This window comes from Homo sapiens, chromosome 1 (assembly GCF_000001405.40).
Source record: "Homo sapiens chromosome 1, GRCh38.p14 Primary Assembly".
NCBI lineage: Eukaryota > Metazoa > Chordata > Mammalia > Primates > Hominidae > Homo > Homo sapiens.
The window spans coordinates 163,750,713-163,777,599 of record NC_000001.11 but is presented as its reverse complement, the minus strand read 5'-3'; the positions used below and the strand labels follow the sequence as shown (position 1 = coordinate 163,777,599).

The 26,887-nt window shown below is 40.1% G+C and overlaps 1 long non-coding RNA gene across 1 annotated transcript in view, besides 1 other annotated feature; it reads right to left on the bottom strand.

The window, feature by feature from the left end:
• The window catches only part of LOC124904447 (uncharacterized), a 90,138-nt gene that overhangs the window by 48,052 nt on the left and 15,199 nt on the right, over positions 1-26,887 (bottom strand). The gene's annotated exons all lie outside the window — the stretch shown is intronic.
• Positions 21,753-22,254: an enhancer, noted in NCBI's record as "H3K4me1 hESC enhancer chr1:163724583-163725084 (GRCh37/hg19 assembly coordinates)". NCBI's record gives its function as "activates a minimal SCP1, AML or CMV promoter by ChIP-STARR-seq in primed H9 embryonic stem cells {active_cell/tissue: H9 hESC(primed)}" and the evidence as "EXISTENCE:reporter gene assay evidence [ECO:0000049][PMID:30033119]".

Genomic DNA, 26,887 nt, shown 5'->3' with positions numbered 1-26,887 from the left:
CCTTGCCAGCCACAGCCTAAAGGGATCTCTCCTTTCTCTGAATTCTTTTAGCAATTATTGTCTGTAAAATTTGTTCAGTAATTAATCATAGGTGCCCTTTAATAGCATAGCTACTGTTGTCTAGAAATGCTATTTAAATCCTCTATTAGCATATCTCAAAATGCTATTTAAAGCCATTATTGTTGGATATTATCTATTGTTTGTAAGTCTCTCTACCCAACAAGACAAGTTTCTCTGAGGGTGTATTACTCATCATAAATGTGTTACTGTCTCTACAGTTCCTGAATCAGTGCCCAGCACATAATAGGGGCAAAATTATTAATTTAGTTTTAATTATATGTGTTCAAAGGAGTTATTTATTCCTTCATGTTTTCCCCTAACTTTTATCTTTTTCTAATCCCTTTCGGAGACTTAAAATTCTATCCCAGAAATGGCATCATCTTAATAACATGGAATTTATACATTGCTCCTGGTATAGAATCCCTCTCCCCTCTTCAGTCATCTTTAAATGAGCAGCCTCTGATCTTGTGTCTCTAAGCCCCATTCTTTGGCATTATTAAAAGAAAAGAATGGGTGAGGAGAGGACCATAAAGCCCAGGACAATAATACATGAGATAGCAGATACCACTTAGAGGCATGGCAGGTCCTCATGGCTGAAGAGCCACATCCAGTTTGACTCTGTTCCTTGTGTGGAGCATGGGGCCTGGCCGTCTCTGTCCATCCAATCTAAGACTCTGATCAAAGGGTCATAACATGAGGCAAATAAATCTCTGTGTTTGTGATTTCTTGGTTATGATCAAAGATAAATCATGTGCTCTGTGTGAGTTGTAGGATTTATTGTTCTGTTAATATTCAAGAGGGGTCTCACCCCCTACCAAACAAACAAACAAACAAACAAACAAACAAAAAACTGTTGTTGTCTCATGAACTTGAAATCTTATTGATAAGCCAAACACAGGAAAGTCATTTACAGGACTCCTTGGAGGGGCAACTGGTATCTGATTTTGCTTTCTCTACCCTATGACCATGCATCATTTTCCCTTGAACTGGAAATTTCCAAGGAGAAATGACACTTTAATGAATGATGGTGTGGATTTAGAAACCTATTTCATCTCAGTGACTTCCACAGAAATTGAATGTTTGCTAGTCACATGATGACTGGTATGACTGAAAACCCCTGCAAACCTGCTAGAATCGGAAAAGTCCTCTGCATTCTTAAGGCCTGACACAAAATTCAGGTACTCATGATTATAACCTGATTACAGTTCTACAGCAGGTTAATGAAGTTTAAATAATTAGAATCTATTGTCGTAAACTATTAAAACTGGTTCTGGTCACTTCCTTTGAGGTGAGTAATAGTGAGAGTGCTATTCTTTCTTACCTCCTGGGAGCCTGAGGCACGATGCAGAGAAGAACCTCACATATCATGCATCATCAGAGGACTAGAGTGAACTCAGGAAATATTTGCTCTTGTCACATTTTCTTCACCGGAGCTAGAGACTTTTTACTAGGAAAAACTGCGAAGTAGGCTGAATATCTCTAATTTCACCTGGTCCGTAGAGGATGCCCTTTCTTCTGCCTCAGATACTCAATACTTTCATGTTCTTTTCCCCTGTCTCCCACAACTTATGGTTCTAAATGAGGAAAAGTCTTAAAAAGTAATTCATTCACAAATTACTCAACTCTTCTCCTTATCCTTTCCTTAACATGGACAAATCTTAACCAAAAAGAGTGAATCTTTAATGAGGTATTTTCAGCATTAGCAAATAAAAATTTAGGGTCACAGAGGCTTTCTCCTGGTTCATAATCCCAAACCACTACAACTACTCTTAGGCCACCAACATTCTCAGGGTGATCCCGCAGGGATGCTTAATGAGTGTTAGCCACTGCGGAGTTCTCTTCCAACAGGCACAAAAAAAGCCAAGCAAAAATGGTCTGTTTCACACCAGCACAGCTAGCAGGGAACCCACTATTTGATATCCTTCATTCAGAGTAGCATGGTTCCCCTGCTTATGAGCAAATCCTTGTTCTCTCGAGCCTCTCCTGATCTTCTCCTTAAATTCTTCCATTTGCACGACGGCTGCTTTGTCCTTTCTTTGACCTCTTCTCTGGGATAAATGAACCAACACTGGGATAGCTGCTTCCTGTGTGAGTCTGTCGGCTTCACAGGAGGAAGGGGAAAAGGCAGAGTGGTCTCTGGTTTCATCCTTCTTAACGTCTATTTTTCACCTCCATTGACTCCCCAGCTCCCTCTGACTCCCGTGGGTGAGCCCTGATTTCCCCCACTGTCAATACCTGAATCCAGCCTCCCTCTCCCCAGCCCCTTGACTTCCCCACTAACACACTGAACCCTTCATGTTTCAGGAAGTTTGTGAGGGCAGTTGGCGAGGTGAATTGTGCTCCCTGACAAGTATGCAAAGCATTCTGTGATATAGTGGATCTGGAAGCCCCTATTATAGGAGATTTACTATTCTGTTCTAAGGTTGCACTCCAGGTTGAAATTGGCTGACAAGGTCTTAGCTTGGGTAGGATTTATTCCCCATATATTAAATTATTTTTTTAATTAGTTCAATGCCCAGGTCATTTCTAAACCGAAGAAATGTGAAATAAATAAGTTTCTGAAGTAAAAAAGAAATAGGCCAGCATTTGAGTGAGTTGTTAAGTTTAGACAAAAATGTTTGTAGCCCCCAAGCCATTATATATTAACTTCTACACATTGGCTTAAGCACCAAGGAGCCACATACAACCTAGACCTTCACAAATTAATTCCTATTGCTACTGGTCTCCTTGGCCTCTGCTTATAGAGCAACTTTTTTTTTTTTTTTTTTTTTTTTTTTTTTTTAGGGAGGCATAAAGTACGTGTAAAATCTTTGGCAGGAAAGCAGAAATTGGGCCTTTTCAGTTAATCTGAAATCTTTTCCGCATCCCTGGTTCAGTGAGTACATAAGCGTGGGAGAGGTGGAAGGAGGGTGTCTGTGCCTGGCAGATTGTGGGGAGGAGGTATTATTGCCTGCGCGCGTGCACACACAGACACACACAGACACACACAAACCCCAGATGGTAACTAGATGAGGGAGAGAAGCCAACAACACCAGGAGTTATTTTAGGAACAAAACTAGGAATCTGCATATGGCTAGATTTTTCATCTCAAACGTTATTCTTGCATATGACAAGCTCCTCGGTAGGGTCGAAGCCAGTCCATTGATCAATTCAAACTATTTTCCTAGATCCTAATTCTTTGGAGGTAGGAGGAAAGGGTGAGTGGTCCTTTTAGCAGACTTGAGATATTGCAGATCTTCTAGTTAAGGCCCTGTCATTTTCCCAGAACCCTCTTCTCTCAGGGTATATACACAAGGACCAGTAATGGCAGAGAATAGTTCAAAGTTATAAGATTGCAGGAATTTAGCAGTTTCTTTATGTCTCTGGTGGCTGATTAACTGTGTTGGTTATGGGATACTGCTGGTGAGAAAAAAAAGTGTTTGTTCTACTTTGAAATTAGCTTTGCAAATGTTCCACACTTACAAACTGCACCTCAAACAATGATCAATAGATTCACAATTTCATACTGTTGGGGAAAAGACAATAAAAAGGAAGAGTATGAATGGTATAACACCCATTCTTTACTACTCCTATTACCACTAAACAATCTCAAACACAACAATGTGTAAATGGCAATTTAGTAATATCATCCATATATATATCAATAATATTATTATGCATGTGTAAATGCATAAAAGACTACCATTTCCTTCCTTTTCTTTAGTTCTATCTTTTTAATTAATCAGTCAATCCATTAATCAATATCTCTTGATGGCCACTATGGGAGGAGTGCTGTGAGTTTCAGGAGTAATCTTAGTTTTCAACAGTATTTATCTGAAATGCAACGGAAAGCTTTTTTTCATTATTTCACACTGTTGCTGGAAAGACTTTGATGCTTCTGTGACTTGGAGAGAGAGTTTCAAACCAAGAATTTTTTTTTTCTCTTCCAGCATGAGGTAAAATGCCACCAAAATAATGTGCCAAGCTCTGGGCCAAGCTCTGGGTATACAAAAGCAATGAAGACACAGTCACCGATCTCAAAGAGCTCACAGTCTAGAGATGAAGACAGCACATAAATAGTAATTACAAGGTGTTGTATTAAGTGGTTTATCAGATGCATATATTAGATTTCATGTTATAAGAACACAAGAGAGTGAGTCATGAATCAGAGTGAGGAATATGGTAATGATCCCTGCCCGATTTTATGTTTTCAGAAGTAGGGTGAGCTTGGTGCTTGCATAATTAAATTCTCATTGCCCTTATAGAAAATTTTGGGATGGCATGGTAGGCACAAGGCTTTGCAGAGCTTTTATAAAGACGGTGTAGCATGCATCTGTTGCTTTATTCAGTAGGTGGACCTCCTTTCTTCTGAGAATAGCAGCCCCTTTAGAGAGAGAAACAATTGTTCTCCTCTTCTTCAAATATGTGATTATATTAAGGATAGTCAATCACAATACCCTACCTACCAAGTCCCAGAGTTCTTTAATTGGAACTATGGGAAAATAGTCCCTCTTGAGTAGAAAGATGTTAATGCATGCCTCTGTCTGCCAAAAGATATGTTTCCAGCTCTTGAGGGAAGTCCATCTGATAGAAAGAAGTAAAGACATAAAGACAAACAGAAATGAAAGAAAAAGATAGAGAGAGAGCTCTCTAGCGGAGTTCACAGTCCTGGTTCTGGTCATCCCTCAGGCCCAGCTGTGCCAGTACAGTACACTCCCTACCATTTGATTGCAGAGCCAAAATATTTCACTTTCTGCCTCAGTTACTTTAAATAGGTGTTTGCCTCTTCCATCCAAGTCCCAACTAATTTAGATGGCTGGCAGAGTCAACACTCGAATTTCTCCAAAAACCAGAATCTATTCAGACTTAGTATGGTATCAATCCACTAATCTACAAGTGAGATCTGTTTCTGCACACTTCTATTACCTGGTGCTAATGACTCCTCTGCCAGAGCGTTCCTACTATTCCTAGCAGGATCTTATTCTAGGCTGCATTAAGCTACAGGAGGCTACAGTGGAGTACTGGGTTAGGAATGGTTTCCAGTATGGAAGGAATAGACAGGAATGTACTGTCTCATGAATCCCAAGCACACACCCTCTTCTGAAATGTGGGCTAGAGACTGAGTGTTAACACCCTGCTCCAAAAATGTGGCTCTACTACAGCAGTGGAAACTTCTGTCAAGCAATGTCTGCAGATTGGCAACTGAGGCAGCTATTTGGAAGCAGGTTGGGAAAACAGAACAGGTCTTATTCACCAGAACTTCAAATTGAATCTGTCTAGAGCTAAGCTTACCATTCACCCTCCCCAATCTGCTTCTCTTCCACTATTCTTCATTTTACTTGCTAGTTACAATATAACCAGTCACACAACTAACACATGAGGGCTTTCTCATTGATGGAGCTTTCTTCCTCAAGTCCCTCAGCCACAGCGTCTAACCAGGCACCATTCCAGTCAATTTTAACCCTTAAGGATATAAGTATATAAATACACATTTCATTGCTTCTATTCATCTCTACTACTAATTACCTGGCTAAGACACTCATTATATTTTACCAAGTCTAGTGTAATGTCCTTTTAACTGGTCTTCCTGGCTCCATTCTTCTCCTCCTGTAATCCATATTTCACACAGCTGTCAGAGTGATTTGTCTGAAATGCAAATACAATCCAGTCGCTTTCCTATTAATACTCGTGCAAGAGTGTCTCATCACTACAGGAGACTTAGTATGACAGACCAGCTCTGTCTTGCAGTTGTTGGTCCTGCCTGCTTTTCCACTTTCATGGCCTGCCACTCCCCACCCCTAAGTTTTCACTTCAGCTGTTCTGCTCTTCTTGCAGTTCCCTGTTTATACTCTTCTTTTACTAGTATGCTTTTTTTATTAGGCCAGAATTAAGGCACTCAGAGCCCCTAAGCATGGAAAAAAATTAGGATTATCCACGTAAAATTCAGAATATAATATTAAACTATAAAAGCAAGTCCAGGATTGTGCTGATTTGCCCTTAATGACGGCTTTCCCCCTCACCCCCACCCCCTGCCTTTATATCAAATATCCAAAAAAGTTTTATAACATCTGGGGTGTATTATGGTATGGGTCAAATGATGGAATAAGAATCCTTGGTGGAGTTGCAATCGTCAAGTTGATGGGACCTGGAAAGTCACAACTTGCAATTGCTCATGCCTTGCCCTTTCTCCTGGTAATAGACCCACACATCTTCCCCTGAAAATACCTTTCAACTCATCAGAGAAAGGAAGGGAGAAGCAGCCCATGTGTGGAGCCCTTCTTGATAACGCTATTGCCTACCTAGAAGGATAGCTTGATTTTTATCCCCAAGCAATTACTTAAATGGTGTTTTAGCCCCTTTTTCTCTGAAGCAGGACATAACCCTTATTGACATTGTGGCTGCTGCCACATCTGTTAAGCTGACAGAGAGAAGGAGCTGGCCTGATCCTTATGATGGATTTGGCGTTGTCAAACCTTCAGCACAATTTGTCATGGGGCAAAAGGGAGCCTGTTGCCAGTGGAAGGTTCCCCAACCCCAGCAACACAGCGGGAGGAGGAGGTCCCCACCCTTCCTTCTCCTATCACTAAAGTTATACTGTCAGCTCTGAAGTGAACCAGAGAGAGGTTCTAACCTCCTTTTAGGAAGGATCTCTCGCTTTTGCCAGCTGCTGATCATAGGAACTGGAAGCAGCTCACAATGCACTGAGAAGGAAATGTCCCCATGTACCTATGTGGAAGTCTCTTGTCAATCAAACTCTCAGAGACAAATAAAAGCAAGAAGAAAATGAGAACAAAAGTACCTAGGCAAGATCTACTGAACAGAGAGAGCCATGGATGGAGATCCATGTCAGTTAATGAATAATGTGTTGCAGGGTTTGCATGAAATGCGTATTTTGTAGAATAAGCTCTGTCCGTACCCACAGTCTAAGACATCTCTATGCCATTACCGACTACTTTATGACTTAGCAGTCTTAACTGGACTTGCATTCAAAAGAGAGGCTGTAGTTACAGACCCCACTGAACTGAGGTCCTCTGGAGGCAATAAAACACTGAGGAGATGCTATCTAGTGGATTTGGAATATGTCATTCACTTGAAAGTCAAGGAGACAGCTGATTTAAAGTTTCCAGCTAGGTCACAGAAAAGTCAGTAGCGGCTGCTTCCAGCCGAGTTCAGAGTCTGAATATTTATGGTGTCAATCTGAAATCCAGATAACCACAAATAATATAAATCCATTAACTCCCCCTCTACAAGAAAAGCTTTTTGGCTGCTAATGCCTTGATTGCTAGGTTACTGTAGGACTGGTGCATGGATTTGTTGCTCTGGGGCTTTCTCTTTTTTTTTTTCTTCTCTCTCTGTTCCTCTCTCTTCTTCTATACCCACATCTCTTCTAGTATCTGTGTACGCTTGTGTCAAGCTGACTGAGGCAACTTCCCAGGAAAATGAGGCAGAGCAGCAATGCTGGAAATGTCTGGCCTTTTTAATTCTTTCTTGATAAAATGCTGTGGTTTTGATAGTCCCTTTGAGAACAGCACTGCTGGATTATTCAGAGTTTCCACCATTTACATAGAGAACATACACTACCCAGGTCACCAGATTATTGCTCCTGAAGTCTCTTGGCTTATTTATTTGCTCCCTAGCAAATAGCTTGTCTCTTGGCTTGTTTATTTTCTCCCTAGCAAATAACTTGCCCATCAGATAATAATCTTATCTTGGGAGCTCAGGGTGGGAACTGTAAGACCATGCAGAAAGGCTGCTGGCTATAGGTAATGCTGCTCCCCTTCCACCAGCCAGCTCTTGGAGGTGGCTCATCCCTCCTAAACTTCTGTTTGGCTCCCTTGCCTGTGCAGCTTTTGTTATCTTATGGTGTCTCTGAGAGCCGAACAGGCCAAAGTAGTCCTGGACAAGGTGGTCCTAGCTGAGATGATCCAGGCTTTCTCATCCCGGAAGAACTCTAAGCACATGGATGGGGCCTGGGACAATGTGCAGAATGAATAACCTGGGCAAGATGCTTCAATTCATGTTTCTATGCAGATGGAGCAGGAGGTTAGCAGAGCCTGTGCCTTCAGCTGCGATGGGAAGGTGTTAAGTTGTTCTGCTTGGTCAAGTCCTATGAAGAAGCCCAGGATCCCAAGATTACCAGCCTGTTAAACAAGCTGATGGTGCTGTTCCTGCCACCCATGACGCTGCCCTCAAGGCCTGCTTCTGGGGGTAGCACAGCAGCTCCTGAGGGTTTGCCATCCTTGGTGCCACTGCCCAGGGAGAGAAGACCTTTGTCTTTCAGATGATAATAAATGGGCCTGTGACTAATGGGCAAAACCTCACAAAGAAAATCTCTGATTGCATGATTGGAATGGTCAGGGATCAATGTACAGCACTCCTCTGAGTTGAACCACTTCTGATTCTGCCGTCTTCAAATATACTCATGATCTTGAAGACAGATGGTAAAATTCAACAATCATTTTTTTTCACCCCTGCCTCCTTCACCATTGCAATTTTACTATGTTGGTCCTATGTTAGATACTTGAGTGTGAATGGCAACAGAGGGACACCCTAGCATCAGGAAAATTATAGCCTTAAACAAAATAATGTTGTCTTACTTAAATATTTCTAAATAATGAATGAATGATGAAGCTCTGGTAGGATCAAACATACAAACAGCTTGACATATGACGTACAAAGCCCTTCTAAAGCGCTGGTTCTCAATCTTGAGCTTAGATCAGTGGCTCTCAACATTCTCTGTGCATCATCATCACATATTAAACTTTTAAAAAACACAGATTTCTGGGCCCCACCCCCAGACATCTGAATTCAATTTGCTTGAGGTAACAATCTGGGCAGCGGAATTTTTTAAAGCATCCCAGATGATTTTAATATGCAACCGGGATGGGGGAGACACTAATTTAGAGATTCAGAGTTCATGAATTCAAGAGTTTAGGCTCTTCAAAAGATTTTTATGCTCGCTAATAAGTAATACTTCCATGTCACATATTTTGTCAGGCATTGTTTTAGGTCGTTTACAAACATAAACTCATTCATTCCTCTCAACAACTCTATGAGAAAAGTACTTTTATTATTCCCATTTTGCAGACAAGAAAACTGAAACAGAAAATCATTAAGCTTCTTGTCCTGAGCCTCAGAGCTGTTTAGTGGCAAATCTGGGGTTTGAACTCATCAGGATACCAGAGATTTGCTGTGTCACTCTACCATAAAGCCTCCCAGAGGTCTGAGGACCACTCACATAGACATTGAAATATCAGAGTCTGTTAAGGAGCATGAGGGAATCAGGATCTCAAATCTGTTTCCATTCAGAGGACATTTCTATTAACTTGGATGCAAGAGGGATCAGTAAAAATCACCAGAGTAGACTCTCCTTAGTCTCTCAGTCTAAATCTCAGGGAATAGGTTTTTAAACTTTAGAATCTAGTTATGCAGCATCTGTGTCTTTTCTTTATGTCTCACTTTTCTTTCTTTCTCTTCTTTCTTTCTTTTTTCTTTCTTTTCCTTTCTTTCTTTTCTTTCCTCTTTCTTTCTTCTTCCTTTCCTTCTTTCTCTTTCTCTTTATTTATTTAATTTATTTATTTTCTTCTTTCTTTCCTCTTCTTTATTTTACAAAAAGCAAACATACAGAATTAAAGTGGTTGTTTTGGTCGATATGTCATTTCCTGCTCTTAAGGCCAGAAGACCTTTAAAAGCCTATTTTAAATCTCAAGTTGCTGCTTAAGCAGTTAATATGTCTTACAAAGTCACATTTAGATGAGTTCAGGCTAAATGAATCAAGAAAGTATCAATTACATAACCTTCAAAAGAAGGCTGCCATAAGAATGGAAAGGAAGAGTTCCCTGGAGTTTGCCTTGTTTTGCAAGACTTCTATGCCTGAAAAAGTGTCTGAAATATTTTTCAAACTCTAAATGGTTTCATACTCCTATTCACTAATAACCATAATGAATGATTACAAAAATCAAAGTCATTTTTTCTCCTTTTTCCTATAAGAAAATGTCACTCAAAAAAGTGCATACCACTCCCATCTTTGTATGTGAGAGTTAGAGTAAGAAAAAACAGGTTTATAACAGGATCAATGCATTTGACAATCACCAAAGATGTATTTAGCGGCAATTGTAAAATTGTATTTATTGTATTTACTGGCCAAACACTGTAGGGTTACCCATAAGATGCAGTTCCTTCTGATATGATATGCTGGATAACTCACTTCCCACTTCTAGATGGAGCTCCATTCCAGCCTCAGGGAGCAATTTGACCCATGGCAAGTTCACATAAAGGCTACTAGATCCATGGTGCTGTGTCAGTCTAGTTGGCTTCACTATTTGCTAATTCAAAATAAACTCAAATAATTCCTGAGCATCTATTCTGTACTAGACAAAGGTACACATTGTTTTGACAGGGCTTCAGTGACAGTGATGTTATCATCAGAAAAGTATTTACTTACCAGGTAATGTGCCCTGGACATTTCCACTGCAACCTGGAGTTTAATGCTACTCTTCACTCCATCCCACATCATTCCTCCCAAGGCCCCACCTCCAAATAGGTGACCGAATCATCCAGGTTTTAGTATTGGAAGTAATATGCCTCCTGGGATTGTTCATATTCTCCTGTCCCAGGAAACCCCTCAATACTGGAAAAAACAAGAATATTTGGTCACCCTACCCCCAACACATCTTTGATCATCAGCTTGTTTAGAAGCCCACACAGGTGAAGTGTTGTAGCTGAGATGGTTCACAGGGGCACTTCGTTTGTCAGTCACCAGCAAAGAACCTAGGGAAAGACTGAGAAAACACATTTTGGCTTTTGTGGTTTTGGTTTGTGGACAAGGGGTGCTATGCTGTTCCTGCCAGAGCAGTGTTACCCTGCACAGGAAGCATGGGTTGGGGGTTATAGAGGGAGTCTATCCTTGTTGAAGAAATGGAAGGCCATTTATGCTTTTTTGTGTCTCATAAATCACCAGCTTCCATACTTGAAAACCCGAAGTCAAAATGCTCAGCCGGAATTGAGAGATGGTCACTCTGCCTTTGGCAGCACGATACCAGCTTCATTTACAGAGCAGGTACCAGCAGCCCTGCTGACTGCGTGTCATGTCATCCATCATGTGAAACTAAACCAACAAGGCGTGAAGAGATGGTGTGGGAACTCTTGTCAGAGGGGTCAGACTACTTCATCAAGGAGGCAGGGCAATGTTTAGGATAGCAGGCTAATGGGAAGGGTTTTTCAGGGCAGAGTTTTAAAGGGTGCTTCCCCATACTCTGAAACGCTCAGGAGGCAGAAGCTCACATTTATTTTGGGGGCACCAAATTACATTTGAGAAGGTACTCTCACTACTGAAAATACACTACTAGCTCATTATTCTTTCTTCCTGCTTGTCCTTTTTAATTTTTTTCCTGTTGTCAAAAGCTGAAGTGACCACCTTGAGAATTGGCGCTACTTTAGAGTACTATTCATGTTTTATGAAAGATAGATATTTTGAAATAGGCTTGACCATTGACATTGTTTGGACCTGTGTCCCTACTAAATCTCATATTGAATTGTGGTCCCCAGTGTTGGAGGTGGGGTCTGGTGGCAGGTGTTGGATCATGGGGGTGGATTTCTCATGAATGGTCTAGCACCATCCCATTGGTGCTGTTCTCATGACAGTGGATGAGTCCTTGCAAGATATGGTTGTTTAAAAGTATGTGGCATCCACTTCACTCCCTCTCTCTTGCTCCTACTCTAGCTATGTGAAGTGTGCGCTCCCCCTTTGCCTTCCGCCATGATTGTAGGTTTCCTGAGGCCTCCCTAGAAACCAAGCAGATGCCAGCATCATGCTTCATGTACAGACTGTGAAACTGTGAGCCAATTAAACCTCTTTTCTTTATAAATGACCTCACCTCAGGTATTTCCTTATGACAATGTGAGAACACACTAATACAATCACTGAGCCAGTCTATGACACAACGGCCCTACGATATGCAACATTTCATGTCAGATCCTCTAGACAGGTACAAGGAAACAGAGATGGACATTGCTTATATACCACTGGGATTTTAAAGTTGGAAAGAACTTGGAAACTATCCAGTTCAACCCCTATTTTCCTCTCTGACTTTATTGAAGAGAAAAATGAGGGTCAGAAAGGAAGAGTGACGTGTGCTCAAATGACTTGGTGAATTAGTAGTAAGGACAAAACTATAACAACAACCCTGTGCACTTTAGCAACACCATCTTTGGTTCCAGTGAGGCCAACGTGAATATATTAAACATGAATACATTAAACTTCAAAATACAGAGATTCATATATATATATGTATATACTCATATATATGTATATACTCATATATGTATATACATATATATATATATATACACTCAACACACAGTGGGCTTCATGTGGAATCCATGCCTGGCACATATTTAGAAGTTCAAAAATTATTTGTTGAATAAGATGAGAAAATAAATTCAGGAAAAACTGACATAAAACAACTGCAATTATAATATTCTGCTCACAAAAATCTGGTCTTTAACTAATAGCTAACATTAATTGGGAACTCAGTGTATGCCAAAACTGTTCAAATGCTTTACATATATTAACTCGTTTAGTTATCACTATAACTCAGTACATTTTAATCTCCATTTTACAGGTGAGGAAACTTAATGTTAAAATATGGAAGTAATGTGTCCAGTACCATGAAGTTAGTAAGTATGACACAGGCGCCTTACTTCCAGAGCCCAAGGAGTTAAGCATTAATCTATACCATATTCACTGCACTGTGCTGTTAATCGTGATAATAATGTTTTAATCTAGTTTATTTTACAAAGTACCTAATAAACTATGTAAAGCAAGCTGTGTCTTAATTCAGTTGTGTTTGTAATCTATATGAGATAATTTTATCCTACCTCCTGATTGGTTGGCATGAAATCTAGAAAATCAGGAGATTATGAATAGACATTTAATCCAATGCTGTGGAAGAGAGTGAGTTCTCATGCAGATGATTTAATATCAGCAAACAAAAATAGTTAAAATGAGGAATAATTTCATCTAGTTTTTACTGAAAATATTCTGTAAGAATAACAGTCCAAATGTTCTTTTTAAAAAAAATTTATTACTTTTTTACTTTAAGTTCCGGGATACACGTGTAGAACGTGCAGTTTTGTTACATAGGTATAAGTGTGCCATGGTGGCTTGCTGCACCTATTAACCCGTCACCTGGGTTTTAAGCCCCTTGTGCATTAGCTATTTGTCTTGATGCTCTCCTTCCCCTCGTCCTCATCCCAACAGGCCCCAGTGTGTGTTGTTCCCCTCCCTGTGTCCATGTGTTCTCATTGTTCAATTCCCACTTATCAGTGAGAACATGCAATGTTTGGCTTTCTGTTCCTGTGTTAGTTTGCTGAGGATGATGGCTTCCAGCTTCATCCATGTCCCTGCAAAGAACATGGTCTCATTCCTTTTTACGGCTGCATAGTATTCCATGGTATATATGTACCACATTTTCCTTATCCAGTCTATCATTGATGGGCACTTGAGTTGGTTCCATGCCTTTGCTACTGTGAATAGTGCTGCAATAAACATACATGTGCATGTATTTTTATAATAGAATTATCTATATTCTGTTGCATATATACTCAGTGATGGGATTGCTGGGTCAAGTGGTATTTCTGGTTCTAGATGCTTGAAGAATTGCCACACTGTCTTTCACAATGGTTGAACTAATTTACATTCCCACTAACAGTGTAAAAGTGTTCCTATTTCTCCACAGCCTCATCAGCATCTGTTGTTTCTTGACTTTTTCATAATTGCCATTCTGACCAGCATGAGATGGTATCTCATTGTGGTTTTATTTGCATTTCTCCAATGATCAGTGATGTTGAGCTTTTTTAATAGTTTGTCAGCCACACAAATGTCTTCTTTTAAGAATGAATGACCTCCCTCTGTTCATATCCCTTGCCCACTTTTTGATGGGGTTGTTTTTTTCTTGTAAATTTAAGTTCCTTGTAAATTCTGAATATTAGTCCTTTGTCAGATGGGTAGTTTGCAAAAATTTTCTCCTATTCTGTAGGTTGCCTGTTCACTCTCATAATAGTTTCTTTTGCCATGTGGAAGCTCTTTAGTTTAATTAGATCACATTTATCAATTATAGCTTCTGTTACAATTGCTTTTGCAAATTTCTTCATAAAATCTTTGCCCATGCCTATGTCCTGAATGGTATTGCCTAGGTTTTCTTCTAGGGTTTTTACGGTTTGGGGTTTTATATTTAAGTCTTTAATCCATCTTGAGTTAATTTTTGTATAAGGTGTAAGGAAGGGGCCCAGTTTCAGTTTTCTGCATATGGCTAGCCAGTTTACCCAGCACCATTTATTAAATAGGGAATCCTTTCCCCATTGCTTGTTTTTGACCAGTTTGTCAAAGATCAGATTGCTGTAGATGTGTGGTCTTATTTCTGAGGTATCTATTCTGTTCCATTGGTCTATATGCCTGTTTTGGTACTAGTACCTTGCTGTTTTGGTTACTGTACCTTGGACTATAGTTTGAAGTCAGGTAGTGTAATGCCTCTAGCTTTGTTCTTTTTGCTTAGGACTGCCTTGGCTATGTGGGCTTTTTTTCTTTTTTCTTTTTTTGGTTCCATATAAATTTTAAAGTAGTTTCTTCGAATTCTGTTAAGAATGTCAATAGTAGTTTAATGGGAATAACATTGAATCTATAAATTACTTTGGGCAGTATGGCCATTTTCATAACTGATTCTTCCTATCTATGAGGATGGAATGTTTTTCCATTTGTTTGCATCCTCTTATTTCCTTGAGCAGCGATTTGTAATTAACCTTAAAGAGGTCCTTCACATCCTTTGTTAGCTATATTTCTAGGTATTTTGTTCTCTTTATAGCAATTGTGAATGGGAGTTCACTCATGATTTGGCTCTCTGTCTACTGGTGGTGTATAGGAATGCTTGTAATTTTTGCACATTGATTTTGTATCCTGGACTCTGCTGAAGTTGCTTATCAGCTTAAGGAGTTTTGGGGCTGAGAAGATGGGGTTTTCTAAATATACAATCATGTTGTCTGCAAACAGAGACAATTTGACTTCCTCTCTTCCTATTTGAATACCCTATATTTCTTTCTCTTGCCTAATCTCTCTGGCCAGAACTTTCAATACTATGTTGAATAGGAGTGGTGAGAGAGGGCATGCTTGTCTTGTGCTGGTTTTCAAAGGAAATGCTTCCAGCTTTTGCCCATTCAGTATGATATTGGCTGTGGGTTTGTCATAAATAGCTCTTGTAATTTTGATATATGTTCCATCAATACCTAGTTTATTAAGAGTTTTTAACATGAAGGGATGTCGAATTTTATTGAAGGCCTTTTCTGTATCTATTGAGATAATCATGTAGTTTTTGTCATTGGTTCTGTGTATGTGATGTATTACGTTTACTGATTTGCATATGTTAAACCAGCCTTACATCCCAGAGATGAAGCTGATTTGATTATGCTGAGTAAGCTTTTTGATGTGTTGCTAGATTCCATTTGCCAATATTTTATGGAGGATTTTTGCATTGATGTTCATCAGGGGTACTGGTCTGAAGTTTTTTTTTGTTGTTGTGTCTCCGCCAGGTTTTGGTATCAGGATGATGCTAGCCTCATAAAATGAGTTAGCAAGGAGTCCCTCCTTTTCAATTGTTTGGAATAATTTCTGAAGTAATGGTACCAGCTCCTCTTTGTACCTCTGGTAGAATTTGGCCGTGAACCTGCCTGGTCCTGTGCTTCTTTTGGTTGCTAGGCTTTTTATTACTGCCTCAACTTCAGAACTTTTTATTGGTCTATTCAGGGATTCGACTTCTTCCTGGTTTAGTGTTAGGAGGGTGTATTCATCCAGGAGTTCATCCATTTCTTCTAGATTTCCTAGTTTATTTGCATAGAGCTGTTTATAGTATTCTCTGATGGTAGTTTGTATTTCTGTGGGGTCAGTGGTGATATCCTCTTTATCACTTTTTATTGTGTCTATTTGATTCTTCTCTCTTTTCTTCTTTGTCCAGCCAGTGGGCTATCTATTTTGTTAATTTTTTCAAAAAACCAGCTCCTGGATTCATTGATTTTTTTGAAGGGTTTTTCATGTCTCTGTCTCCTTCAGTTCCACTCTGATCTTAGTTATTTCTTGTCTTCTGCTAGCTTTTGGCTTTGTTTGCTCTTGCTTCTCTAGTTCTTTTGTGATGTTAGGGTATCAATTTGAGATCTTTCTAGCTTTCTGATGTGGGCAGTTACTGCTATAAATTTCCCACTTAACACTGCTTTAGCTGCATCCCAGAGATTATGGAATGTTGTCTCTTTGTTTTCATTGGTTTCAAAGAATTTCTTGATTTCCACCTTAATTTCATTATTTACCCAGGAGTCATTCAGGAGCAGGTTGTTCAATTTCCATGTAGCTGTGTGGTTTTGAGTGGGTTTCTTATTCCTGAGTTCTAATTTGATTGCACTGTGGTCTGTGAGACTGTTTGTTATGATTTCTGTTCTTTTGCATTTGCTGAGGAGTGTTTTACTTCCAATTAAGTGGTCAGTTTTAGAATAAGTGCCATGTGACACTAAGAATGTATATTCTGTTGATTTGGGGTGGAGAGTTTCATAGATATCTATTAGTTCCACTTGATCCAGTGCTGAGTTCAAGTCCTGAATATCCTTGTTAATTTTCTGTCTCATTGATCTATCTAATATTGACAGTGAGGTGTTAAAGTCTCCCACTAATGTTTTATGGGAGTCTAAGTCTCTTTTTAGGTCTCTAAGAACTTGTTTTATGAATCTGGATGCTCCTATATTTAGGTGCAAATATATTTAGGATAGTTAGCTCTTCTTGTTGAATTGATCCCTTTACCATTATGTAATGCCCTTCTTTGTCTTTTTTGATCTTTGTTGGTTTAAAGTCTGTTTTGTCAGAGACTAGGATTGCAACCCCTGCTTTTTTCTGCTTTCCATTTGCTTGGAAAATTTTCCTCCATCCCTTTATTTTGAGCCTATGTGTGTCTTTGCACGTGACGTGAGTCTCTTCAATATGGCACACAGATGGGTCTTGACTCTTTATCAAATTTGCCAGTCTGTGTCTTTTAATTGGGGCATTTATCCCATTTACATTTAAGGTTAATATTATTATGTGTGAATTTGATCCTGTCATCATGATGCTAGCTGGTTATTTTGCACACTAGTTGATGCCTTTTCTTCATAGTGTCATTGGTCTTTATATTTTCACGTGTTTTGCAGAGTCTTTCTCTCTGGCGGCCCTTAACATTTTTAACATGTTTTTTTTTAACATTTTTCCCTTCATTTCAGCCTTGGAGAATCTGACGATTATGTGCGTTTGGGTGGGTCTTCTCGTGGAGTATCTTAGTGGCATTCTCCGTATTTCCTCAATTTGAATGTTGACTTGTCTTGCTAGGTTGGGGAAGTTCTCCTGGATAATATCCTAAAGTGTGTTAACTCCATTCTCCCTGTCTCTTTCAGGTACTCCAATCAGTTGTAGGTTCAGTATTTTTACATAACTCCATATTTGTTGGAGGTTTTGTTCATTCTTTTTGATTCTTTTTTCTTTAATTTTGTCTGCCTGCCTTATTTCAGCAAGATAGTCTTCCATCTATGATATTCTTTCTTCTGCTTGATTGATTTGGTTATTGATACTTGTGTATACTTCATGAAGTTCTCATGCTGCATTTTTTCAGCTCCATCAGGTCATTTATGTTCCTCTCTAAACCGGATATTCTAGTTAGCAGCTCCTCTAACCTTTCGTCATGGTTCTAGCTTCTTTGCATTGGGTTAGAACATGCTCCTTTACCTCAGCAAAGTTTGTTATTACTCATGTTCTGAGGCCTACTTCTCTCAATTCGTCCATCTCATTCTCCATCCAGTTCTGTGCCCTTGCTGGAGAGGTGTTGCAATCATTTGGAGGAGGAGAGGCACTCTGGCCTTTTGGGTTTTCAGCATTTTTTTCATTGATTCTTTCTCATCTTCATGCATTTGTCCAGTTTCAATCTTTGAGGCTGCTGACCCTTGGATGAGGTTTTTGTGGTGACATTTTTTGTTGATGCTGTCATTTGTTGCTTTCTGTTTGTTTGTTTTTCTTTCAATAGTCAGGTCCCTCTTCTCTAGGGCTGCTGCGGTTTGCTGGGAGTTCACTTCAAGGCCTATTCATCTGGTTAGCTCCCGTGCCTAGAGATGTCATTCAAGGAGCCTGGAGAACAGCAAAGATGGGTGCCTGCTCCTTCCTCTGGGATCTCTGACCTTGAGGGGTACCAACTTGATGCCAGTAGGAACATTCCTGTATAGCATAACTGACAGCCCCTGTTGTGGGGGTTCTCACCCAGTTGGGTGGCATGGGAAGCAGGACCTGTTTAATGAAGCACTTTGGTGTCCCTTGGTGGAGAGGGTGTGCTGCAGTGGGGTGAAACCCACTTGTCTGGGCTGCCCAGGGGCTCAGGCTTAGGGGGATCAGAGTTCTGTCCCTGAGCCCCTGAATGGAATTGTAGTTCCTGCAGGGAGGCCATGCAGCCACAGTGTAGGCTGCTGCCCCTCCCCTAAGGAACTCAGTACTATTAGACAGCAGGCAGCTACAGCAGTAGTGATGGCCGCCCCTCCCCTGGAGAACTTGGCAAGCTTAGGCCAATTCTAGCAAAGTGGCTGTTGTGATTCTTTGCCACTCCATGGTTGGGACCCAAGGCCCCGGTGGCATGGGCTCATGAGTAGGATCTTCCAATGGGTTGCACAGTTTCATGGAAACGTCATGGTTTCCCAGGCTGGGTGACATGCTCACTCACCACCTCCCTTGGCTGGGGGTGGGGGCTCCCCTGCCACCTGATAGCTACATGTGGCAGGGGAGCCCCCACCCCCAGTCAAGGGAGATGGTAAGCAGCCGCACCACACTGCTTTTCCTTCCTCTTCATGGGTCATGCCAGCTGCCTAGTCAGTCCTAATGACAGAACCTGGATACCTCTGTTGCCAGTGCAGGGTTCGCATGCTGTTTTGGATCTTTTTGATGGGAGCTTCCAATCACCACTGCTTCTAGTTGGCCATCTTGGCCCAAAGGAGACCAAATGTTCTTAAACTTTGATCACCATAAACTTACCTGCCTCTACTTTGATATCCTGCTTAGATTCTTTCACTAGAAGGAAACTCCCAAAGAAAATAACCAATCCAGTTACCCCAGTACATCCATTAATGATCATAGAGATCTTTACCTTTAAATATGTAAAATCAAAATCAAAATAATGGGAGTTAAGTTTCTCACTACAAGAGAAGGGAGTTACAAATATGGAAAGGAAGAAAACTGGAATTAATTCCCATAGTACCAGATTAGAATTGGAGGTAAATTCTTGAGGAGCATGCATAGAGATAGATAGATTATAGATAGATAGATAGATAGATAGATAGATAGATAGATAGATAGATAGATAATCATATATATTACAAATAAATATAGATATAATTGTGGCTATAAATATATACATACACAAACATATAGATACATATTGTGTTATTTTCCTAGGGCTGCTGTACAAATTACCCATATTTGGTGGTTTATAACAACAGAAATGTATTTTCTCACTGTTTGGAGGCCAGAAATCCAAAATTAAGTCATTGGCAGGGTTGATGCCTTCCCTGAGGGAGAAGATCCCATGCCTCTGGTCACGCCTCTAGTGGTAGAAAGCACTCCTTGACATTCTTTGGTGATCTTTAGTTTGTAGCTGCATCTCTCCCATCGTTGCCTCTATCTCACATGGCCCTCTTCTCAATGAGTGTCTGTGGCTCTGTGGCTCCATGTCTTCCTTTATTTTCCCTTATAAAGATGCCAGTCATTGGATGTGGGGCCCACTCTAATCAAATATGACCTCATCTTAATTGGTTATATTTGCAAAGGCTCTTTTTCCAAATAAAGGCACATTCTGAGTTATGGGTAGATATTAAGCTTTGTGGATACACTATTCAACCAGTTACATATATATTTCCTAACTTCACCCACTAAGAGAGCTTGGTTGTAGTGACACACCAAAAGCAATGAGCATACCTAGCACTAAGTGCTTGGTTTCTAAATACCATGCTTAAAAGAGCTAGAGATTTTCTTTTATGTGTGTGAGGAGTGGGAATGACTAATTTCAGGATTGGATCTGGAAAAGAATTAGGTGAGAACTGAATATCTTGTGTGAAAAAGCAAGATAGTGATCAAAGAATGATTGGGGAAAAGTGAAAAAGACCTAAAGTCAGTATGAAAGAGCCAAATTTGGAACAATTTGAGCATGAAAATAAATAATGAAAACCATCAGTCAATACTTATATACCTAGATTCATACATAATATACATACTAATTGAAAATAGAGATATTTTTCATTCTTTTTCCAGCAAATATTATTCATCATATGGATATATTGTAGTTCATATAATTGTTTTATTATGAATTCAAATTGTTTCCAATTCTTAGCTATTTTAATAGTATTGTAATGAATATTTTTATAGTCTCCTGTTTTTAAAAGAGCACGAAGAAGCTGGAACACAATTTGTACAGTAGGTGATCTGTGCAGCTAATCACCATGGCACACATTTGACTATTTAACAAACCTACACATCCTGCACATGTACCCCTGAACTTAAAATAAAAGTTGGAAATTAAAAAAAAAGTGGCAGGAGGTGTAGAAACAACATTTTATTGTTAAAGATCTGAGGATATTTAACCTGGAGAAAAGATGATTGGGAGGTAAGTTGCCAAATGGAAATTTTCATCTTTAAAGGGACTCTACAGGAATAATATAGCTTATTATATCTCAGACACTATTCTCAGTGCTATATATATGTATATATGTATATATATGTATATCAGTGTTTGAGCATTTGTCACCTTCTTTGTCACTAATTATTCGTGTGAAGGTGCACAGAATAGTTAGGTTTCAAGGCTCTAATCTTTACAAAGTGAGAATATATATATATATATATATATATATATATATATATATATCATTGTTCTTAATCCTAACCATAATCCTATAGTTACTTTTATTATACTAATTAGGTGAAGAAACTGAGGCACAAAAGGGGTATATTATTGTCCAATATTAAGTGGAATAAAAATATTAAAAAGTGACTAGTATTACCCACTATTTTTTTTGTGCAAAAAGCAATATGGTTTAATGGACATAATCCCGATTACTCAAAAGCAAAGGTACAAATATAGACTCATCCACTTATTCACTATTGACCTATCTGACTTTGTTCTAGTCACATGACTTTCTATGCCTCAGACATTTTTAAAAGGTTTAAAGGTGATCAGTTTAGTTATTTACATAAGAAACATGTATTTACCCCTGAGCCAAGATGGCTGAATAGAACAGCTCTGGTCTACAGCTCCCAGCATGAGCGACACAGAAGAGGGGTGATTTCTGCATTTCCATCTGAGGTACCAGGTTCATCTCACTAGGGAGTGCCAGACAGTGGGCGCAGGTCAGTGGGTGTACACACCATGCACGAGCCGAAGCAGGGCGAGGCATTGCCTCACTTGGGAAGCGCAAGGGGTCAGGGAGTTCCCTTTCCGAGTCAAAGAAAGGGGTGACAGATGGCACCTGGAAAATCGGGTCACTCCCACCCGAATACCGCACTTTTCCCACGGGCTTAAAAAACGGCGCACCAGGAGATTATATCCCGCACCTGGCTCGGAGGGTCCTACGCCCACGGAATCTCACTGATTGCTAGCACAGCAGTCTGAGATCAAACTGCAAGGCGGCAGCGAGGCTGGGGGAGGGGCGCCCACCATTGCCCAGGCTTGCTTAGGTAAACAAAGCAGCCGGGAAGCTCGAACTGGGTGGAGCCCACCACAGCTCAAGGAGGCCTGCCTGCCTCTGTAGGCTCCACCTCTGGGGGCAGGGCACAGACAAACAAAAAGACAGCAGTAACCTCTGCAGACTTAAATGTCCCTGTCTGACAGCTTTGAAGAGAGCAGTGGTTATCCCAGCACACAGCTGGAGATCTGAGAATGGGCAGACTGCCTCCTCAAGTGGGTCCCTGATCCCTGACCCCCGAGCAGCCTAACTGGGAGGCAACCCCCAGCAGGGGCAGACTGACACCTCATGCGGTCAGGTACTCCAACAGACCTGCAGCTGAGGGTCCTGTCTGTTAGAAGGAAAACTAACAAACAGAAAGGACAACCACACCAAAAACCCATCTGTACATCACCATCATCAAGGACCAAAAGTAGATAAAACCACAAAGATGGGGAAAAAACAGAGCAGAAAAACTGGAAACTCTAAAAAGCAGAGTGCCTCTCCTCCTCCAAAGGAACACAGTTCCTCACCAGCAACGGAGCAAAGCTGGACGGAGAATGACTTTGACGAGCTGAGAGAAGAAGGCTTCAGATGATCAAATTACTCCGAGCTACGGGAGGAAATTCAAACCAAAGGCAAAGAAGTTGAAAACTTTGAAAAAAGTTTAGAATAATGTATAACTAGAATAATCAATACAGAGAAGTGCTTAAAGGAGCTGATGGAGCTGAAAACCAAGGCTCGAGAACTATGGGAAGAATGCAGAAGCTTCAGGAGCCGATGAGATCAACTGGAAGAAAGGGTATCAGCGATGGAAGATGAAGTGAATGAAATGAAGTGAGAAGGGAAGTTTAGAGAAAAAAGAATAAAGAGAAACGAGCAAAGCCTTCAAGAAATATGGGACTATGTGAAAAGACCAAATCTACGTCTGACTGGTGTACCTGAAAGTGACGGGGAGAATGGAACCAAGTTGGAAAACACGCTGCAGGATATTATCCAGGAGAATTTCCCCAAACTAGTAAGGCAGGCCAACATTCAGATTCAGGAAATACAGAGAATGCCACAAAGATACTCCTCAAGAAGAGCAACTCCAAGACACATAATTGTCAGATTCACCAAAGTTGAAATGAAGGAAAAAATGTTAAGGGCAGCCAGAGAGAAAGGTCGGGTTACCCACAAAGGGAAGCCCATCAGACTAACAGCTGATCTCTCGGCAGAAACTCTACAAGCCAGAAGAGAGTGGGGGTCAATATTCAACACTCCTTAAGAAAAGAATTTTCAACCCAGAATTTCACATCCAGCCAAACTAAGCTTCATAAGTGAAGGAGAAATAAAATACTTTACAGACAAGCAAATGCTGAGAGATTTTGTCACCACCAGGCCTGCCCTTAAAAGAGCTCCTGAAGGAAGCACTAAACATGGAGAGGAACAACTGGTACCAGCCGCTGCAAAATCATGCCAAAATGTAAAGACCATCGAGACTAGGAAGAAACTGCATCAACTAACGAGCAAAATCACCAGCTAACATCATAATGACAGGATCAAATTCACACATAACAATATTGACTTTAAATGTAAATGGACTAAATGCTCCAATTAAAAGACACAGACTGGCAAATTGGATAAAGAGTCAAGACCCATCAGTGTGCTGTATTCAGGAAACCCATCTCACGTGCAGAGACACACATAGGCTCAAAATAAAAGGATGGAGGAAGATCTACCAAGCAAATGGAAAACAAAAAAAGGCAGGGGTTGCAATCCTAGTCTCTGATAAAACACACTTTAAACCAACAAAGATCAAAAGAGACAAAGAAGGCCATTACATAATGGTAAAGGGATCAATTCAACAAGAAGAGCTAACTATCCTAAATATATATGCACCCAATACAGGAGCACCCAGATTCATAAAGCAAGTTCTGAGTGACCTACAAAGAGACTTAGACTCCCACACATTAATAATGGGAGACCTTAACACCCCACTGTCAACATTAGACAGGTCAACGAGACAGAAAGTCAACAAGGATACCCAGGAATTGAACTCAGCTCTGCATAAGCGGATCTAATAGACATCTACAGAACTCTCCACCCCAAGTCAACAGATTATACATTTTTTTCAGCACTACACCACACCTATTCCAAAACTGACCACATACTTGGAAGTAAAGCTCTCCTCAGCAAATGTAAAAGAACAGAAATAGTAACAAACTGTCTCTCAGACCACTGTGCAATCAAACTAGAACTCAGGATTAAGAATCTCACTCAAAACTTCTCAACTACATGGAAACTGAACAACCTGCTCCCGAGTGACTACTGGGTACATAATGAAATGAAGGCAGAAATAAAGATGTTCTTTGAAATCAACAAGAACAAAGACACAACATCACAACATACCAGAATCTCTGGGACACATTCAAAGCAGTGTGTAGAGGGAAATTTATAGCACTAAATGCCCACAAGAGAAAGCAGGAAAGATCAAAAATTGACACCCTAACATCACAATTAAAAGAACTAGAAAAGCAAGAGCAAACACATTCAAAAGCTAGCAGAAGGCAAGAAATAACTAAGATCAGAGCAGAACAGAAGGAAATAGAGACACAAAAAACCCTTCAAAAAATCCATGAATCCAGGAGCTGGTTTTTTGAAAGGATCAACAAAATTGATAGACCACTAGCAAGACTAATAAAGAAGAAAAGAGAGAAGAATCAAATAGACGCAATAAAAAATGATAAAGGGGATATCACCACCGATCCCACAGAAATACAAACTACCATCAGAGAATACTATAAACACCTCTACGCAAATAAACTAGAAAATCTAGAAGAAATGGATAAATTTCTGCACACATACACCCTCCCAAGACTAAACCAGGAAGAAGTTGAATCTCTGAATAGACCAATAACAGGAGCTGAAATTGTGGCAATAATCAATAGCTTACCAACCAAAAAGAGTCCAGGACCAGATGGATTCACAGCTGAATTCTACCAGAGGTACAAGGAGGAACTGGTACCATTCCTTCTGAAACTATTCCAATCTATAGAAAAAGAGGGAATCCTCCCTAACTCATTTTATGAGGCCAGCATCATCCTGATACCAAAGTCAGGCAGATACACAACCAAAAAAGAGAATTTTAGACCAATATCCTTGATGAACATTGATGCAAAAATCCTCAATAAAATGCTGGCAAACTGAATCCAGCAGCACATCAAAAAGCTTATCCACCATGATCAAGTGGGCTTCATCCCTGGGATGCAAGGCTGGTTCAACATATGCAAATCAATAAATGTAATCCAGCATATAAACAGAACGAAAGACAAAAACCACATTATTATCTCAGTAGATACAGAAAAGGCCTTTGACAAAATTCAACAAATCTTCATGCTAAAAACTCGCAATAAATTAGGTATTGATGGATGTATCTCAATATAATAAGAGCTATCTATGACAAACCCACAGCCAATATCATACTGAATGGGCAAAAACTGGAAGCATTCCCTTTGAAAACTGGCATAAGACAGGGATGCCCTCTCTCACCACTCCTATTCAACATAGTGTTGGAAGTTCTGGCCAGGGCAATCAGGCAGGAGAAGGAAATAAAGGGCATTCAATTAGGAAAAGAGGAAGTCAAATTGTCCCTGTTTGCAGACGACAAGATTGTATATCTAGAAAACCCCATCGTCTCAGCCCAAAATCTCCTTAAGCTGATAAGCAACTTCAGCAAAGTCTCAGGATACAAAATCAATGTACAAAAATCACAAGCATTCTTATACACCAACAACAGACAGAGAGCCAAATCATGAGTGAACTCCCATTCACAATTGCTTCAAAGAGAATAAAATACCTAGGAATCCAACTTACAAGGGATGTGAAGGACCTCTTCAAGGAGAACTACAAACCACTGCTCAAGGAAATAAAAGAGGATACAAACAAATGGAAGAACATTCCATGCTCATGGGTAGGAAGAATCAATATCTTGAAAATGGCCATACTGCCCAAGGTAATTTACAGATTCAATGCCATCCCCATCAAGCTACCAATGACTTCCTTCACAGAATTGGAAAAAACTACTTTAAAGTTCATATGGAACCAAAAAAGAGCCCGCATCGCCAAGTCAATCCTAAGCCAAAAGAACAAAGCTGGAGGCATCACACTACCTGACTTCAAACAACACTACAAGGCTACAGTAACCAAAACAGCATGGTACTGGTACCAAAACAGAGATATAGATCAATGGAACAGAACAGAGCCCTCAGAAATAACGCCACGTATCTACAACTATCTGATCTTTGACAAACCTGAGAAAAACAAGCAATGGGGAAAGGATTCCCTATTTAATAAATGGTGCTGGGAAAACTGGCTAACCATATGTAGAAAGCTGAAACTGGATCCCTTCCTTACACCTTATACAAAAATCAATTCAAGATGGATTAAAGACTTAAACGTTAGACCTAAAACCATAAAAACCCTAGAAGAAAACCTAGGCATTACCATTCAGGACATAGGCATGGGCAAGGACTTCATGTCTAAAACACCAAAAGCAATGGCAACCAAAGCCAAAATTGACAAATGGGATCTAACTAAACTAAAGAGCTTCTGCACAGCAAAAGAAACTACCATCAGAGTGAACAGGCAACCTACAACATGGGAGAAAATTTTCACAACCTACTCATCTGACAAAGGGCTAATATCCAGAATCTACAATGAACTCAAACAAATTTACAAGAAAAAAACAAACAACCCCATCAAAAAGTGGGCAAAGGATATGAACAGACACTTCTCAAAAGAAGACATTTATGCAGCCAAAAAACACATGAAAAAATGCTCACCATCACTGGCCATCAGAGAAATGCAAATCAAAACCACAATGAGATACCATCTCACACCAGTTAGAATGGCAATCATTAAAAAGTCAGGAAACAACAGGTGCTGGAGAGGATGTGGAGAAATAGGAACACTTTTACACTGTTGGTGGAACTGTAAACTAGTTCAACCATTGTGGAAGTCAGTGTGGCGATTCCTCAGGGATCTAGAACTAGAAATACTATTTGACCCAGCCATCCCATTACTGGGTATATACCCAAAGGACTATAAATCATGCTGC